The sequence below is a fragment of the Homo sapiens genome, chromosome 13 (genome assembly GCF_000001405.40).
Source record: "Homo sapiens chromosome 13, GRCh38.p14 Primary Assembly".
In the NCBI taxonomy this organism is placed as follows: domain Eukaryota; kingdom Metazoa; phylum Chordata; class Mammalia; order Primates; family Hominidae; genus Homo; species Homo sapiens.
In genome coordinates, this window is record NC_000013.11 from 113,035,476 (window position 1) to 113,052,133 (window position 16,658).

The window sequence follows — 16,658 nt, forward strand, 5'->3', positions numbered from 1 at the left end:
AACCCCCTCTGCGATGTGCAGCTCTGGGTGTCTGATCCCTCAGGGGTCCTGTCTCCCCTCCTCTGGCCCCCTCCCTGGCTCCTTCGCCTGCTGCCTTTTTCTTCCATGAGGATGCGGTTCCCGTGTCCCCCAGGACAGCTTCGTGGCCGGCCGCCTCCATGGATTCGGGTGGGCACAGGTCCTGCAGGGAGCTCCTGTGTTATCTGCCCTCCCCGCGAAGCTCCTTGGAGGATGGAGATTTTAAGGTCTTACTGTGGTGTGAGCGATCAGAGACCCCAGTGTTTACCAGGTAGGCTCTGGGCTCAGACCCCAGCGCCCCACTTGTTAGCTGTTTGACCCTGGATATGTCATTCACTTCTGCGTTCCTCAGTTTCTGCACGTTTAAAATGGCAGAGGCCCCTTTGGTAGTGAGTCTGTGTGACAGGCGATGGGGCCTTCCTCTCTGGTACAGCAGGGGCCTAAGGGATGTTTGACCTCAGCAGGTAGAGTATCATCTCCGTGGTACAGCAGGGGCCTGAGGGATGTTTGGCCTCAGCAGGTGGAGGATGGCTGCAGGTCAGGATTTTGCATCACAAACAACACTGCTGCAGTCACATTAGTGGATTTTGTTATTATAGACAACACTCGTGTCTATAATTCCAAGGACCCATTCTCCATGCCCAGAGGCACCTCAGTCCCACAGACCGCAGCCTGATTCTGAGTTCGCAGTTGGCCAGTGTTGCAGAAGCTCACAGAGGAGTCTTTGGAAATGAGAATGACGCCACCATTCTCTTTTAATTGTGTCATAGGTCTTCCTTCCTTTTATACATAAGTTAACTGAGGCTGGTTTGCTTTCCACAGCCAGAGTTCTAAGACAATTTTAAGTAACACTTTTCTTTCGCTATTTCTTTATGAATGTGTTGGGTTTTAGGGATCACAGATGTGCTTGGGCAACCAAGGCTGCCTGTGTCTCTGTGCTCTGGGGGGCTTTTCCTACGAGCTTTGCGTGAGATGCCAGCTGCCCACAGGCAACTGGGCACAGAGAGCAGGAGAATAAAGCAGGCCAGGGCATCAGGTGGGGCTGATTCCATGGAGGGCAACGGCAGTGGTGGGGGCAAGTGCGGGGTGGGTGAGTGGCAGCAGCCACCCACAGAAGGACGCGCTGTCCCGGCCCCGCATCCCCAGGAGTGCGTGTGTCGCAGGCGACCCTGTCCTCTCACCCAGGAGCCCTCTGAGCTCGCGCCTTTCTTCAGGTGTCTGCGATATCATGCTCCCCTTGTGTTCCTCCTGCCTCCTGGCTGCTGCCAGTGGGTGGCCCCCCAACTCCTCCACCAGACCCTGACTCTCAGAGGACTCCAAGCCTCTATTTGTGTTATTCCTATCCAGTCCATGGGGTTCAGATACCAAGTGGAACTTTTAACAACCATGAATTCCTAGGCCTCACTCTCAAATCATCACATCAGAATATCCAGGAGTGGCCCGAGAAGACCTGCGTTGTAGCAAGCTCCCGGATGTTTCTCTTGCATCCATCTGGCACTGGTCTGCACACTGGTGTTTGGAACCCCCAGACTTGAACTTAGTGCCGTGCGGTCCAGCGGCCCTCCTGTCCATCTCAGTGCAGAGAGGGGCTGGGGGAGGTGCAAGCGTGTCATCCTAGAAGAATTCCTCTCGACTAACAGCCTGCCGTGTTCTTGGCATCTGTGCACAGTGGAGCCCCACAAGCTGGCTGAACCCTTGGCTTGCGTCCTAAGCTCTGTGTGCTGTTAGGATGATGATAACGACCACGATAGAAAGCACCTTGCTGAGCCCCTAGGAGTAGAAGGTGGAGGGCAGGCCAGGGCAGAGTTGAGCTAGACAGAGTGAAGAACACAAGTTCTGGGGAAGCAGGGAATTGTAACCAAAGATGAAACCACCCCTGCCCAGCGGCACCATTTGTAGGGACCTTGGAGAGTTGGTTGAACATCTGCAGAGCATGGGGTCGGAGACTCAGGTCAGACTAAACTGGTTCAGAGCCAGGATACCCCTTTCGACCTGGGTTACATTTGTCATCATTCATGTAAATGTTTCTGTTAGATGGAAACAGGTTCAAAACCCACTACCTACTTCCATTCTGGCTCTAATAGAGTATCTTGTAGCCAACTGATATTTCCACAAAGAGCAACTGTAAAACCTGGGTAAAATTTTGTTTAAAAATATGTTTGAGGGATTGAGAGGCTGCAGAGGCAGCCAGGACTTGGGGAGCCAGGTTCTGGAATTTTACAGAGGTGAGCCCCACTTTCTGCATTTCATGGTGAGGTATTGAACGCTTTGCCGCTGAGGTCAGGAACACTGTTCTCATTTCTATTCAGGATTGTGCTTGGAGGTACCAGGCAGACAACAAGACAAGAAAAGAAAAGTCTTAAGGATTGAAACAGTAAGAAACACAGGTATCATTCATTATTTGTAGACAATGTGGTTGTGTATGAAGAAAATCCAAATTAAGTAACAGTCAGACTCTTAAGCTGAGTAAGTAATTTAGCAAGATCAATGGGCAGGGGTCAATATACTAAACTTAATTGTATTTTAGTATTTTTATATATATCAATGATGTACAATTGGAAAATGAAATTTATAGATATCACTTATAATCACATCAAAATTGAGTACATAGGAATAAAATCATATCTAATAAAAGACGTGCAAGACTTCTAAGCAGAAAACTGCAAAATGTTATTGAAAGAAATTAAAGGGGCCAGGCACAGTGGCTCATGCCTATAATCCCAGCACTTTGGGAGGCCGAGGTGGGTGGATCACGAGGTCAGGAGATCGAGATCATCCTGGCTAACATGGTGAAACCCTGTCTCTACTAAAAATACAAAAAATTAGCAGGGTGTGGTGGTGGGCACCTGTAGTCCCAGCTACTCGGGAGGCTGAGGCAGGAGAATGGCCTGAACCCGGAAGGCGGAGCTTGCAGTGAGCTGATATCGCGCCACTGCACTCCAGCCTGGGTGACAGAGCGAGCCTCCATCTCAAAAAAAAAAAAAAAAAGAAAGAAATTAAAGTAGCATGAATAAATGGAAGAATATTTTAGTTCACAGATTAGAAGACAATTAGTATTATAACAATGTTAATTCTCTCTAAATAAACATATAGATCGAATGCAGTTCCCAAATAAAATTCCAGCAGGTTTTTCTTTATTTAGGTGTGAACATTGGCAGGCTGCCTTTACATTTTATATGAAAATGCAAGGGGTGAGGAATAGTCACCCAACTTTGAAGAAAAAAGTTGAAAGCTGATACTGCCAAATATTAAGACATTATTAAAGTGACAGTGATTAACACAGATGGTGTAAACAGAAGAGCAGCAGCACAGAATATTGAATCCAGACAGACCACACATCTGCAGTCTCTTGATTTATTTATTGATTTATTTATTTATTTTTGAGGCGGAGTCTCGCTGTGTCACCCAGGCTGGAGTGCAATGGTGCTATCTCGGCTCACTGCAAGCGCCGCCTCCCGGGTTCACGCCATTCTCCTGCCTTAGCCTCCCGCATAGCTGGGACTACAGGCGCCCGCCACCACGCCCTGCTGATTTTTTTTGTATTTTTAGTAGAGACGGGGTTTCACCGTGTTAGCCTGGATGGTCTCGATCTCCTGACCTCATGATCCGCCCTCCTCAGCCTCCCAAAGTGCTAGGATTATAGGCGTGAGCCACCGCGCCCGGCCATTGCAGTCTCTTGATTTATTTCTTAAGTGATACTGTAGCACAGAGGGGGATGGACGTCCTCAGTAAGAGGAGTGGATGTGATTGGCTGTCTGTGTGGGAAATTATGAATGCTGATACCTGCCTCACACCATATACAAAAGTTAATTCCAAATAGATCACAGGTGTAAATGTGAACTCTAAAGTAATATAGTCTCTATTCTCGACAAACATAGGAAAATGCCTATTTCAGAGTAAGAAAAGATTTCTTACGCAAGGTTTAAAAAGCAGTTATCAAAAAAGCAATTATCAGAAAGGAAAAGGTCAGTAAATTGGGCTACATTAAAGTTAAGTTACTCTTTTCATCAAAATGAACCATGAAGAGATCGACACGGAAAGCCACAGTGTGGAAGCAGATGTTTGCAATATGCACATCCAATAAGAAACTTGTTTCTAGCCTATACAGAGAACTACACACCAACAAGTTAAAGGAGAATCTAGTAGAAAAACAACCAAAAGATGTGAACAGGCATATCATAAAAGAGGATAGCCACTAGACACAGAAGGCTTCCTGCCTCTGGGAAATGCCAATTAAAGCCATATCAGGACGCCACTCTGTATCCACAAGAGTGGCTAAAATTCTACTGACAGACAGTATCCAGTGCTGACAAAACCATGGAGCAACCAGAAGTCACGTGCATTTCTGGCAGGTGTACATTTGTCCACATCTACATAATTACAGCAATTCCTAAGAATATGTCCAACAGGAGTGTGTATTGTGTGCACTAGAAGACATGTATAAGAAGCTCATTGTCTTATGTTCAGTTTAGCCCCAAACTGGAAACAACCCAAATGTCCATTAAGAGTAGAATTTATTAATAAATCATATTTCATCATATATGTATACCATAACCCAGCAACAAGAATGAACAGACACCCTACTGCAACAACATGGGTGAATCCCACAATGTTGAAAGAAGCCAGACAGCAAAAAAGCACATATTGTATATTTTTATTTGGACAAAATTCAACGGCAGGCAAAACTAATGTATGGTGACAAGAGTCGGGATGGGGCACCCTGGACGGTGGGAACGGCCTCTCAGTCTGGGCACTCGCTGCCGTCACTCACACTCTGTGCTTCTGCATGATGTGCATTATAATTGGACAAAGTATTCACATAAAGAATGGTGTCCTCCAAGGAAAAGAACTTAGGTGCCACCTACTCTATCCCAGATGGGCCAAGGTAACCGAGTCGCACTGTGCAGGGAGGGCCTTCCTGTGTGTGTGTGTGTGTGTGTGTGTTTCTTTTCCTGAGGACACAGCCACCCTGCTGTGCAGGGACCCTTCTCCCAGACTCCTCTTCTCATCTTGGGTGCAGGTTGACGTTTGAGAAGCAAAGACACCAAGGGTCCCCTTCCTCCCACCCAGGCCTCACGTCCCCTCAGCGCCTCCTGGCCACGCACTGTTGATTCCTAAGGTCTGCTGCCCTCTGCAAGCACTGCTCCTCCCGTGTCCTGGCCTCCACCTGCCCCTGCCCTGGGACAAAGCATCCTCCTCGCCCCCACCATGTCCACGCAGCAGAGGCAGATGTCCAGGCACTGGGGGAACGTGGTGCTGGGGCCTCCCCGCCCCACTGGTAGAGAGGAGCCAGCCTCTGCTTGCAGACCATCCCTCACGCTCTGCTCCTGTCCAGTGAGCTGTGGTTGCACCCGCAGGCCAGTGGGCTGTCTGCCCACATGGGTGGGGGACCATGGGGCTCCCAAGGTCACGAGCCCTGAGTGGTTTGGGTCTCTGTCACAGAAGACGCAGCCAGTTGGAACATTCCTGAAACTTTATGAGACCGCTGGGCCTTTTTTACTTATTTGGGCCAAAAGTGAGCTCATTGGCCTCAAACTCAGCTGCTGGGAAACTGGCCAGGGCAGCCCCTCCAAGGCCAACTGTTGCGGAGTTGGCAGCTGATGGGGCATCTATGGGCTGTGTTTGTGCCCTGGGTGCGAGGGACATTTCTGGGGTGGCTGCCAGCTTGAGTTATTCTACCCCAACTCCTCCGGCACCATCACCTTCATCCCTCTGGTGACTCTGGGGACTGCTTCCTGCTGAAACTGGGCAGAAGCCACACCACCCTCTCCCTCAGACACAGGCCACAGATGTGGGCATAGATCCGAGCTCCGTGAGCCCTGGGTCCTCACTCCTGTGAGCAGATCCAGGTCCTGCCTCACGGTTTTGGGCAGTGCAGCCTCGGGAATGCCATGGGCCGTGGGGGGGCGGGGAATCACGTGGCCCTGCCCTCATGACCACAGTCAGTATGGGGGATCATGTGGCCCTGCCCCCGTGACCACAGTCAGTATGGGGGATCACGTGGCCCTGCCCCCATGACCACAGTCAGTATGGGGGATCACGTGGCCCTGCCCCCATGACCACAGTCAGTATGGGGGATCATGTGGCCCTGCCCCCATGACCACAGTCAGTATGGGTAGAGGAGGTGCTAGGGGCTCTTTACATCCTCACGTCAGAGGCTTTTTTAGTCCAGGCTTTGCACCTTCTGAGTCAGTGTTCCCGAAATGTGGTAGGAGAGGAGACATGGGGCTGAGGGGGTGTGGACGAGTGTCCACCTGGGCCCTGCATAGGGGGCAAGGTCGTGGTGGGGGCTGCGCAGGGCAGGAGGCTGAGTGCTGGTGTGTGGGCATCTGGGGTCAGGTCCCTGCTTGGTGGGAACATTAGGAGGCCGCCAGGGTGGACGTGGCCTTAGGGGCAGCACACGTGGTGTCTGAGCCAGGTTCCCCTGTCCGTGCTCACAGCTATGTGACTTTGGGCAAGTGACTAAAGCTCTCTGTGCCTGGAGAGGATCATAGCACCAGCCTCACGGGATGGTCGCTGGAGCTTGATGAATAGCTGTAGGGCTGTTGGCACAGTGCCTGGTCCATAGCACAGCTGAGGATAGTCTCTAACCCTGAAGAAGCATGCCTCCTGCCTGCACCCCGTTCCCACACATGCCCTGTGCCCGCACCCCGTTCCCACGCGCACCCTGGGCCCGCACCCCATTCCCACGCGTGCCCCATGCCCGCACCCACGATGGTGAGCATGGCTGGGGCAGGAGGAACCAGCGCTGCCTTCCTGCCCAGGACCCACACCTTCTGCAGCTGAGCGACAGTGACTGCCCCATTAACACCACCTGGAAACCAGTCCGTCCTTCTCGTTGAGAAACTGATTTCCTAGTATGCATTTTTTGAATCGAATAAATTTATGACACCTTAGATTTCACTTGCAATTTTGACTTCTAAAAAATGTTTTAGTCGTTGGTAACTGGTTTCTCATTGAAAACGGATGCCTATTTGTGATACTGGTGTTCCCATTACAATGTAACACAAAGATTTAAACGTAGAGTGAGTGGAAGCCCCACACAGGCAGGCCGGGCGGCATCCAGTGGCATCGGGCGCCTTTTTCGTGGCTGCAGCGTCAGCCTGCACTGCCGGGTGTGAGGCAGACGCGCACTTAACGGCGTGAGAAGCCAGATGTGGGAGGCACCGGGCACTGTGGGCAGTGAGGCAGGAGCTTGGCCGCGTGTGGGGCAGAAGCTCCATGGCTAGAATGGGATGTGTTTGGGTCACGGGTCTGGGGGAGGGTGCGTTCTGGCTATAACTGGATGTGTTTGGGCCACAGAGGTCTGGGGGGTGCATTCTGCATCCAGCAGCTCTCACATGGCAGTCGTGGTCCCCGTTGCTGGTCTGGGCTGTTGTGGAGTAGCGGGGGCATTTGTGGGCGAACCCAGAGGCTGAAATTCCACCCCAATCAGAGCTCTATTCCAGGGAAAAGGGGAGAAATTGAGTCAGGCTTTGTTGTTCTGCAAAACAGTGACGCCGCTCAGGCAGCGCTGCGGGTTACAGCATACTCAGTGGCTTCATTTCACTCTCACGGTAACCGCTGGGGGTGGATTCTACGATTGTCCTCATTTTTACAGAAAAGGAAGCAGAGATGGTTCACAGCCAAGTCACCTGTCCAGGGTGATGCCTTTGCGGGGCCCACCAGAGCCCGCCAGTGTCGCAGAGGCGGTGAGCCCCTCCCGCCCAACACACAGCCCCTTGGCAGGGGCTCTTGAGCAAACCTGCAGGTGGGCAGCTTGGGGCGTTTCTCAGCTAGCATCACCCCTGCTTCAGGACTTGAAAGCATTTGACTGGGTTCGCTGGCCTGAGGATTACGTGCTCGGTGGAAATTAGTCATTCTGGGCTCTTCTCTCCTTCACTCTAGGAGGACTGGGACCCAGAGAGCTCCGGGATCAGCTCCCTGGCTTGGAGTCCAAAGGCAGCTCTGACCACGCCGCCTGGGGCAAGAGGGAGGGCAGCTGGGTTCCATCTCCGTGGCCTGGCACATCCAAGGTCCCTTTGTGGAAAAGGCACGTGTAGCACCTGTTACTGGAGGATAACCTGTAACTTTGTGCCTCTCCCAAGGGAGCACACAGGTCTACACGGGAAGTAAGATTCCCTGTACCCACTGTGTCTCACAGTTCAGAAAAAGTCGTCAAAGTGCTCAGACTCAAGAAGTAAATAAGGAAATATGAAAACATGACTTTATTTCTTTCTTTTTTTGAGACAGTCTCGCTCTGTTGCCCAGGCTGGAGTGCAGTGGCACCATCACAGCTCACTGCAACCTCAAACTCCTGGGCCAAGCAATCTTCCCACCTCAGACTCCCCAGTAGCTGGGACCACAGGCATGCGCCACCACACTCAGCTAATCTTTGTATTTTTCATAGAGACAGGGTCTCATCATGTTACCCAGGCTGATCTCGAACTCCTGGGCTCCAGTAATCCACCCACCTTAGCCTCCCAAAGTGCTGGGATTGCAGGCGTGAACCACCACGCCCAGCTGAAAATATAACTTTAAAAAAAATCTTAGCTCCGTAAGAACTAAGCCAGATCAGAAAACGAATTCTGTCTGTGGCCCCCACAGCTGTGAAATGGAGTCGCTGACTCGCCATGCTCGTGCACGTGCTTAGTGCCCACTGCAGAAGGCTGCTTTGAATGAAAGCTAGTGTTTATTCGTGTACTCACCCAGAAGGTTTCTGCTGTTATTGAATCAAATTACCCTACATGTGAGGCATTTTTCACGGCCAGATGCAGACAGGGACACAGACGCAGCAGCACCCACCACACATGAACGTTCGGGGGTCACTGCCTCGTCTTCATGTCTTGGGAGTTGCTGTTTCTGTCTTTAAATCCGAGCGTCAGAAGGATCTGAGACACCCGATATAAATCCCTGGCTTGTTAATGATGCTCACAGAGAGCGGCCACGCCCATAGACTGCATAATTTATCTCCATCCTGCAGAATTCTGATTTTCATGTAAACCTAGGACATGTTCAGAGACTTGGAAGTTAGCGATTCTAGCCCCTGCCTTAGGCATGCCCGTGTGGTTGTTTCTGCTTTGGATTGGCTGGTGGTAGCAGCTGCTGGCATCACGCAATTGGCTTGGCTGCAGAGTGAGCCCACGGAAGAGGGCTCTCCGCACCGACTCTGTGACTCAGGCTTCTACTACCAGGCTCATCCGAGGACGGAGGCTGTCGTTATACAACGCGCAAGTGTGGTCTCTGTCACAGATGTGGCTGTCGCAGAGAGTGCTGCCTCCTCTCCCGTTTCCAGCAGATGCTTGGGAACCTTCAGAAGTCTTGGGGATTTTCTCCCAGCACCGTAGCCATGCCACCACGAGTGAATCCTTAACGTGGACCAGCACGGGCACCTCAGATGCCAGGACCGGCGTGATGTATGCGCCATAAGACTGTTTTGGAGGGTTTAGTCAGCTGGTCACCCAGGAAAGGAAAATGACTCGGCTCTTACTGTGGAATAGCAAATGACTGAGCTCGGGAGAGATGGTTCTGCCTCAATCTGTGACTCGAGGTGGTTGGTGTTAGGCTGAGAAATAAGAACACACCAAAAGTGCCTGCCCTTCCGTAGATGAGAGCAGGTTCTGGGACTGCGGGGATGGGGCTGCCGGGGCCCCCGTGTGCCATGCCTCTCACCTGGTATTGCAGAAATGGCATCATGAATATGGGGGATCGCTCTCCCAAGAGGTTTTCTGAGGGATTTCGTGGGCAGCCGGCTTCCCACCTGCACACATTAACGGCGGCGTCTCTTCCTCACTGCAGCCTGCAGGACGCTGGCATCGGATTCATCCTGGTGATAGACCGGCGACGGGACAAATGGACCTCCGTGAAGGCGTCCGTCCTGCGCATCGCAGTAAGTGCCACCCGGGGCTCTGCCCTGCGCCCGGCCCCTCCCTGGGCTGCATGACCGCATGGTGCCCTTCCTCTGTGTCTGCCGCAGTTCCTGCTTTGTGCTGAGTGGGACAGAGCCCAGTCCCGGCGGGTGGAGGCCGGCGCCAAGGCCCCCCCTGCTTGGGCTCCCAAGGCACTGGTGCCTGGGTGTGAGTTTTCCCAGATGAAGGAACTCTTAGGGAGCCCAATGTGACTTGCAAACAATTTCCCCAGGCAGAGCAGCCCATATGTTTCCGAACACCAAGTCTGAGATGCTCGGGACTGAATATGCCTCTTACATATTTATACATTAGTGATTTTCTCCTTTCCAAATCGGGCCATCTATCTTTAGCTGTGACACTGAACGAGCCACCACCGCCTCCCTTCCCCAGTGGGATTGAACATGCACTTCCTCTTACACAAAGCACAACAGTCCTGACCAGGCAGGACGGGGGCTGTGTGCAGAGACGCTCCAGGCTGGAAGTTGGAAGTGGTACTGCACAGCTTTCCTATGTGATTTTCTCCTTTCCAAATCAGGCCATCTAGCTGCGACACTGAACTAGCCACCACCGCCTCCCTTCCCCAGTAACCCAGCCTCGCATGTAGCCACCCTCCTTTCCAAGGACTTTCCCTTGGCATCCGAGAGTCTGTTTGCAGATTCTGCACGCTGCCTTCCATAGCAGAAGGGGAGCTGGGTTTGCTGTTGGTTTTAACCCAGAGTAATCATTTAAGAGGGAAGAGATTAAGTCAGCAGAAGCCCCCAAATCTTATTTTTGTCGGTAGCTCCCACCCGTATGCATGACCCCGGCATGGAGCATTTTTCACCCACGCTCGCTCTCCCCGCCTGTCCGTCCAAATTTCATTGCTGCCAAAGGACCAAAAAAGGCTGCCTGTCTGCCAAGAGGTGACCCAGAGCCTGGGTCCAGGCACCTGCATGTTCTCACGCCCGCCACAGCCCGTCCCTCCCAGGCTCTGGGACCCTGGGTCCTCAGCTGTGATGGCACAATTGCTCCAAGCATTCCCCAGCACCAAACCCCAGTGAAGTCAGATTCTCCCAGTGAAGTCAGATTCTCCTGGCCTTTCCTGGGTCCCGCGTTCAGACTACCTTTGGGTTCCCCAGCCTCTCGGTGGCTGCTGGCTGGTGCGCCAAGGTTTGAGGTATACTGAAAAAAGTCATTCCTTTCCCCGCACATTGCCTCATTCCTTCATCTTTTACAAGAATTAGAGGCCCCATATCTGCTCCGATGCCCACAACCTTCATCGTTTTGGTGCAAGCCTGTCCCTGAGCCGCTGGTTCTCATCGAAGTCTTTAGGATGAGGCATCTCCTTGCACCCCCACGGCACCTCTCTGCCCCTCGCCGCGGCGGATCCCCGTTCCTGACCCTGACTCAACCTGGCACACACCACCTATGGCATCGTTATCTGAAATAATTCAAAACGCTTCAGGATGCTTCCAAAAAAGTAGACGTGTATAGAATCGGTCTTCCTTTGTTTTAACAGTGCGTTCGTTTGCTTTTGCGTCACTATAAAGACGTACTTGAGCTGGGTAATTGATAAAGAAAGAGGCGTAATTGGCTCACAGTTCTGCAGGCTGCACAGGCTTAGCACCTGCATCTTCTCAGCTTCTGAGGGGGCCTCAGGGAGCTGCCAGTCGTGGTGGAAGGCAGCGGGGAGCCGGCATCACATGGTGAGAGAGGGAGCGAGAGAGAAGGGGGAGGTCCCAGACTTTTGAACAGCCAGATCTCCAGTGAACTTACTGAGCGAGAACTCACCCGTCACCAAGGGGATGGCGCTGAGCCATTCATAAGGGGTCACGCCCAGACTTAATCACCTCCCACCAGGCCCCACCTCAGCACTGGGAATCGCATTTCAACATGAGACTTGGAGGGGACAAAAATCCCATCCATATCAAGCATCCCCAGAAATGCAGAAAGTTCTTTAGATAAAAGCCATCACCAGCTAACAGCCATGTGTGCCTTTCATTATTGTACGTCTTAAATGAGTTTGCACATGAAGTCATAGGCAACTCTAAAAATTAAATCATAAGAACCCACGGGGTCAGACACACATGGACGGACAACAGATACTCTTGGGAAGCACCCATCCGTCCTGGGCGGGTCCCACAATGCTCCCAGCAGGCACGTCGTCGTTTAAACAACAGACAACACCGTTACAGCCGCATCTTTTATGCTTACCTGCCGCTGATATAAACCAGCCATCAGGACGACTCTTAGCAACACGTGGGTGTAGGAGTCGGCCTCCCTGCCAGGGCACTTGCGGTGTCAGGACGCACCTGGGTGCCTTTCATGCCCGTGGGGTCCAGGCACCTGCATCTTCACACACCTGCCACAGCCCGTCCCTCACACGGCTCATGCCTCACTACATGTGCCCCGTCCCCTCTGCTCACGCCTCGCTACGTGTGCCCCGTCCCCTCTGCTCACACCTCGCTACGCGTGCCCTGTCCCCTCTGCTCACGCCTCACTACGCGTGCCCCAGAGCCTCCGCTGATGCCTCGCTACGCGTGCCCCGGCCCCTCCGCTGACGCCTCGCTACGCGTGCCCCAGTGCCCTCGCACACACATCACCACGTGTGTGTCTCAGATTAATCAGTCACTCCCGGGTTAGATGACAAGAGCTTCCCCAGATACGAGGTTACTTTTTAAGAAATACAAAAATCATTTTCTAAAAGCAAAGTATTTCTGCGAGGTCACCCTACAGGATAGCGAAGCAGCCCACAGCAGACCCGTGATTTAGGTGTCGATCTTCAGCTGCCGAGTGTCCTGTTCCGTTCACCGAGTGTGTGATCGGATGAATTTCTTAAGCAGGTTGGCTCATCTTGAAAGCTCTGTCTTGTGAGCATCATAACTGAACAGTTAGTGTTTTAGTTTTTATTTTTGCATTGATTCTTACACCATAAAAATATGGCTTTTTCTGTCCTTCCTTTAATTCTCAGAATTGACCAACATTGGTTTGGAAGTAACAGAAGCCAGCATTTTCCAGCAAAATCACCCAGAATTCTCTCTGAACACCAGTGCTTTCTTGCTATAATAATTTACGGTCTTTTTTTTTTTTTTTTTTTTTGAGACGGAGTCTCATTCTTTCGCCCAGGCCGGACTGCAGTGGCGCGATCTCAGCTCACTGCAAGCTCTGCCTCCCCGGGTTCACGCCATTCTCCTGCCTCAGCCTCCCAAGTAGCTGGGACTACAGGCACCTGCCACCACGCCCGGCTAATTTTTTATATTTTTAGTAGAGACGGGGTTTCACCCACGTTAGCCAGGATGGTCTCAATCTCCTGACCTCGTGATCCGCCTGCCTCGGCCTCCCAAAGTGCTGGGATTACAGGTGTGAGCCACCGCGCCCGGCTTATGGTCATATTAATACACAGACTCTGTGTAGTTAGCACGTCCTGAGGCTTTTCTCTGTCCCAGGCACTGCCTGGGCATCACGGATGTGAGGGAGGAAGTGAGCAAGGCTCACCGCCAGCTGGGTGAGGACAGTTGAGGGGCATCACAATGGGGTCACAGGCAGGGGCAGCAGGGAGCAGCCAGGAGGGTGGCTGAGCCATGGGGAGGGGGCAGAGTTAGGCCCCACATGCCAGGCCCCATCCACCTGGGCTGTGACCCTGGAGAGGGCGTCTTCCTGTCCCCAGGCCCCTGCTACCCAGGAGCCCGCCGCCTCCAGAAGGGTTTGGTGCAGGAGGGGCATGAGAAACCGGCAGGAGATGATGATGGTGGACATTGGATGGGCCAGGAGACATGGAGCTCACAGCCCTGGTTTCATGAAGGAGAAGTGGGCCACAAGGCCAAGGAGGCAGGAGGCGGGCAGTGGTGGCACTGTCATAGGAGCTGGTTGTGCATGTGCTGAGGCTTAGAGGGTCACTGGTCAAGGGAGTGAGGGCAGCTGTGGACCCAGCCAAGCCTAGGTCCTGGGCAGACCAGGAGGGGTGAGGGTCTCTGCAGTGGGGAAGGGGTGGGTGGTGGGGCTGGCGGGGAGGCCCCAGGCTCTGTCCATGAGCCACGCACTCCTTGGAGAGGGCAGACCAGGGATGACCCCTTGGGCATCTTGATTCAGTTTTTTGGAAATGGTGCAGTTGACCTGACGTGGGGACACCAAGTAGTGGCTGCAGCGGGGCACCTGGACGCCAACCCCTGGGCTCCAGGCCTTGACAGCGAGCTTTGGCTGGCCTAGGCTTCCACCTAAAGTGGCTTTGGGAAAACTAGCACTTAGCAACAGTCCAGGCCAGCCGAGCCCTCAAGCAGGTTTCCAAACAGGCACAGGCTCCAGCTGCCCGACCCCACCAGGGTGCCCAGCTCATGGTGCTGCGGGCGCCACAAAGCAAGCCCGTGGCAGAGACTTGCCTCCAAGCGCTCGGCCACCGAGGAGGACGCAGCGCTTACATAATGTGCCGGGATCCGGGGCTATTTTTAGCCACCATATGTGCTGTCTTAAGAGCTGAGCTCTCCCTAATTTGGGGTGTTCTTTTTTCTTTTCTGGATGCCTTCAGCATGGCTTGGAATAGAAAAATTAGACATTGGAAGAGCCAAAATCCAGTGTTCCTAAAACCAGGCTCCCAATCGAGAGCAAGACCCATGTGATGCTGAGGGCGTGTGGGAGAAGGATAGGTTCACAGCTACCCACCCAGGGGGCAGAAAGATGAGATCCTCTGAGAACTCACGTCTCTTCTCCCTTAGGCAGTTGTGCGGTCCTCAGATAGAAGCATCTTTTATAAAATGCTGTTGCAACATCTAACCCTCTTCCACTGTACTGCATGTGTGAGTGTGTGAGTGTGAGTGTGTGACTGTGTGTGTGTGCGAGCGAGTGGGAGTGTAAGTGAATGTGAGACTGTGTGAGTGTGTGAGTGTGTGCGCGAGTGGGAGTGTAAGTGAATGTGTGTGAGACTGTGAGTGTGAGAGTGTGTGTGTGTGAGAGTGAGTGTGTGTGTGCGTGTTCACATTTTGGGAATTTGTAATAGAGTATATATATTCATGTTTAGAGCTAGCCTAAATCAAACTAAATCTAGATCCTCAAGTAGGTGGCTGGAGAAAGTGAATCTGATTTTTAGACTGCATGGGGCCACAACTCTCTTTCCTGTAACGCCGGTGCAGTCTGTGTGTGCAGGAAAGGTAGAAAACAAGGTGTCTGAGGGACCCCGGACTTCTAGGTCGTCCAGCAAATCTTTCACATTTGCAAAGTACGATTGTATGCGGCCCCCCTGTGCCAGCTACTGGGGCTCTGGGGAGGAGCTCACCGTGGGGGCGGTGGGGGCGGTGGGAGCCGTGGGGGCCGGGGCGGTGGAGGGGGGGGTGGCTGGGGGAGCGGGGAGGCGGGAGGAGCAGGGGGGGCGGGGGCGGGGGGGGCGGGGGGAGCGGGGGGGTGCGGGGGGCGGTGGCGGGGGGAGGGGGGCGGCAGGGGGCGGTGGGAGCGGTGCTAACTCCAGGAGGACTTCCCGGCGGAGGTGATGCTTGGTGAGAGCCTGACGGGAGGAGGAGTTGTCCAGATGGAGGGGGGCGAGGAGCTTCCCCTGGGAACACAAAGCAGCTGGCTGCCGAGGGAGAGAGGGCCAGGTCCGTGTGCCCCTCTCGGAAGAGGCGAGACCGTCCCCCAGGGCAGGGAACTGAAATGCGCGCTGCATAACTGCGGCGACACGGGGGTGGGGGACCCAGCTCTTCCCGGTGTGGCTGAGCTTTCTCAGAACACCGCTGCTGTGTGCAGCAAGCACCTGCCCAGGTGAGCACAGTCCCCCCGTGGTGGACAGAAGGGGACCAGGATCTGCAGGCTGTCTCCTCCGCACCAGCTGCTGTGGCAAATGCGTTTCAGCGCACCCTGCGCGTTCACCAACCGCCGATTACAGGGGAGGAGCTGGGCTTCGGGGCGACGAGGGAAGCTGCCGATGGGGTGGGGCGGCTCTGGGGGCGGCCTGGGCCTTTCTGTCTCTGAAGCCCGAGCTCTCTCCCTACTCCGGTGGTCCCAGGGCCACGGCGGTGGGCGGTGCCGGTCATGCAGAATATTGCAGGGGGAGGCAGCCCGTGAGGCTTCCACGACGCTGAGAGCGTCTATTTAAACGACTGTCCTTCATCCGAGGGTTCGCTCCTCCCACCTAAGGGTGGATTTGACAGCCTTGGGGTATCCAGCAGGGGTGGGAGATCCAGAGGCCCCAAGCCCTTCTTCACTGTGTATTTCCTGGAACATGGAATCCAAGGGTCCAATAACGGGCGGCACGAGCCACTTTGCTCTCTCTAAAGACCTCGGAGGCGACACAGTGAATAACAAGGTTGTCTTAGTCCGGGTCTGCTGCTTATATGTCAAGAGTATCTGAAACTGGGCACTTTACAACGAAAAAGAATTCATGCCTTACAGTTGAGGAGCCTCACCTGGTGAGATCCCTCTTGCTGGTGGGTCCTGAGGCGACGCGGGACCTCACCTGGCGAGGGGAGAGTGAGCCAGCCCAGGGCTGCCCCCGCTGCTTACAAAGCCACCAGGCCCCCACCCACCCCCACGACAGCCCGTTAATCCGAGAATCCGTGAATGGATGAATCCATTCATGAGGGTGGGGCCGTCCTGACCCAGTCACCTCTGAAAGGTACTGCCTCTCAATGCTGCCATGAGTTTCGAAGTTTGGTAGGGACGAACATTCCAACCACACCAAATGTATATTTCAGAATTGCTAAAAGAATCCATTTTAAATGTTCTCAGCACAGAAAACTGGTGAGTGGGTGAGGTGACAGATCGGTTAATTGGCTTGATTTAATCATTCCA

At 53.4% G+C, this 16,658-nt stretch overlaps 1 protein-coding gene across 28 annotated transcripts in view, besides 2 other annotated features; it reads left to right on the top strand.

The window, feature by feature from the left end:
* Positions 1-16,658, top strand: part of MCF2L (MCF.2 cell line derived transforming sequence like) — a 205,408-nt gene that overhangs the window by 141,141 nt on the left and 47,609 nt on the right. For 25 of the 28 annotated variants that reach the window (NM_001438391.1, NM_001438392.1, NM_001438393.1 and 22 more), the window contains one exon: positions 9,796-9,886. In NM_001438391.1, coding sequence (NP_001425320.1) covers positions 9,796-9,886 — 91 coding nt within the window. Of the gene's footprint in view, positions 1-9,170; positions 9,414-9,795; positions 9,887-16,658 lie in introns of those variants that run through there. The other 3 variants (XM_011537491.2, NM_001366645.2, NM_001366646.2) reach the window with 1 other exon arrangement.
* Positions 5,626-6,372: an enhancer, noted in NCBI's record as "H3K4me1 hESC enhancer chr13:113695415-113696161 (GRCh37/hg19 assembly coordinates)". NCBI's record gives its function as "activates a minimal SCP1, AML or CMV promoter by ChIP-STARR-seq in primed H9 embryonic stem cells {active_cell/tissue: H9 hESC(primed)}" and the evidence as "EXISTENCE:reporter gene assay evidence [ECO:0000049][PMID:30033119]".
* Positions 15,009-15,595: an enhancer, noted in NCBI's record as "H3K27ac-H3K4me1 hESC enhancer chr13:113704798-113705384 (GRCh37/hg19 assembly coordinates)". NCBI's record gives its function as "activates a minimal SCP1, AML or CMV promoter by ChIP-STARR-seq in naive H9 embryonic stem cells {active_cell/tissue: H9 hESC(naive)}" and the evidence as "EXISTENCE:reporter gene assay evidence [ECO:0000049][PMID:30033119]".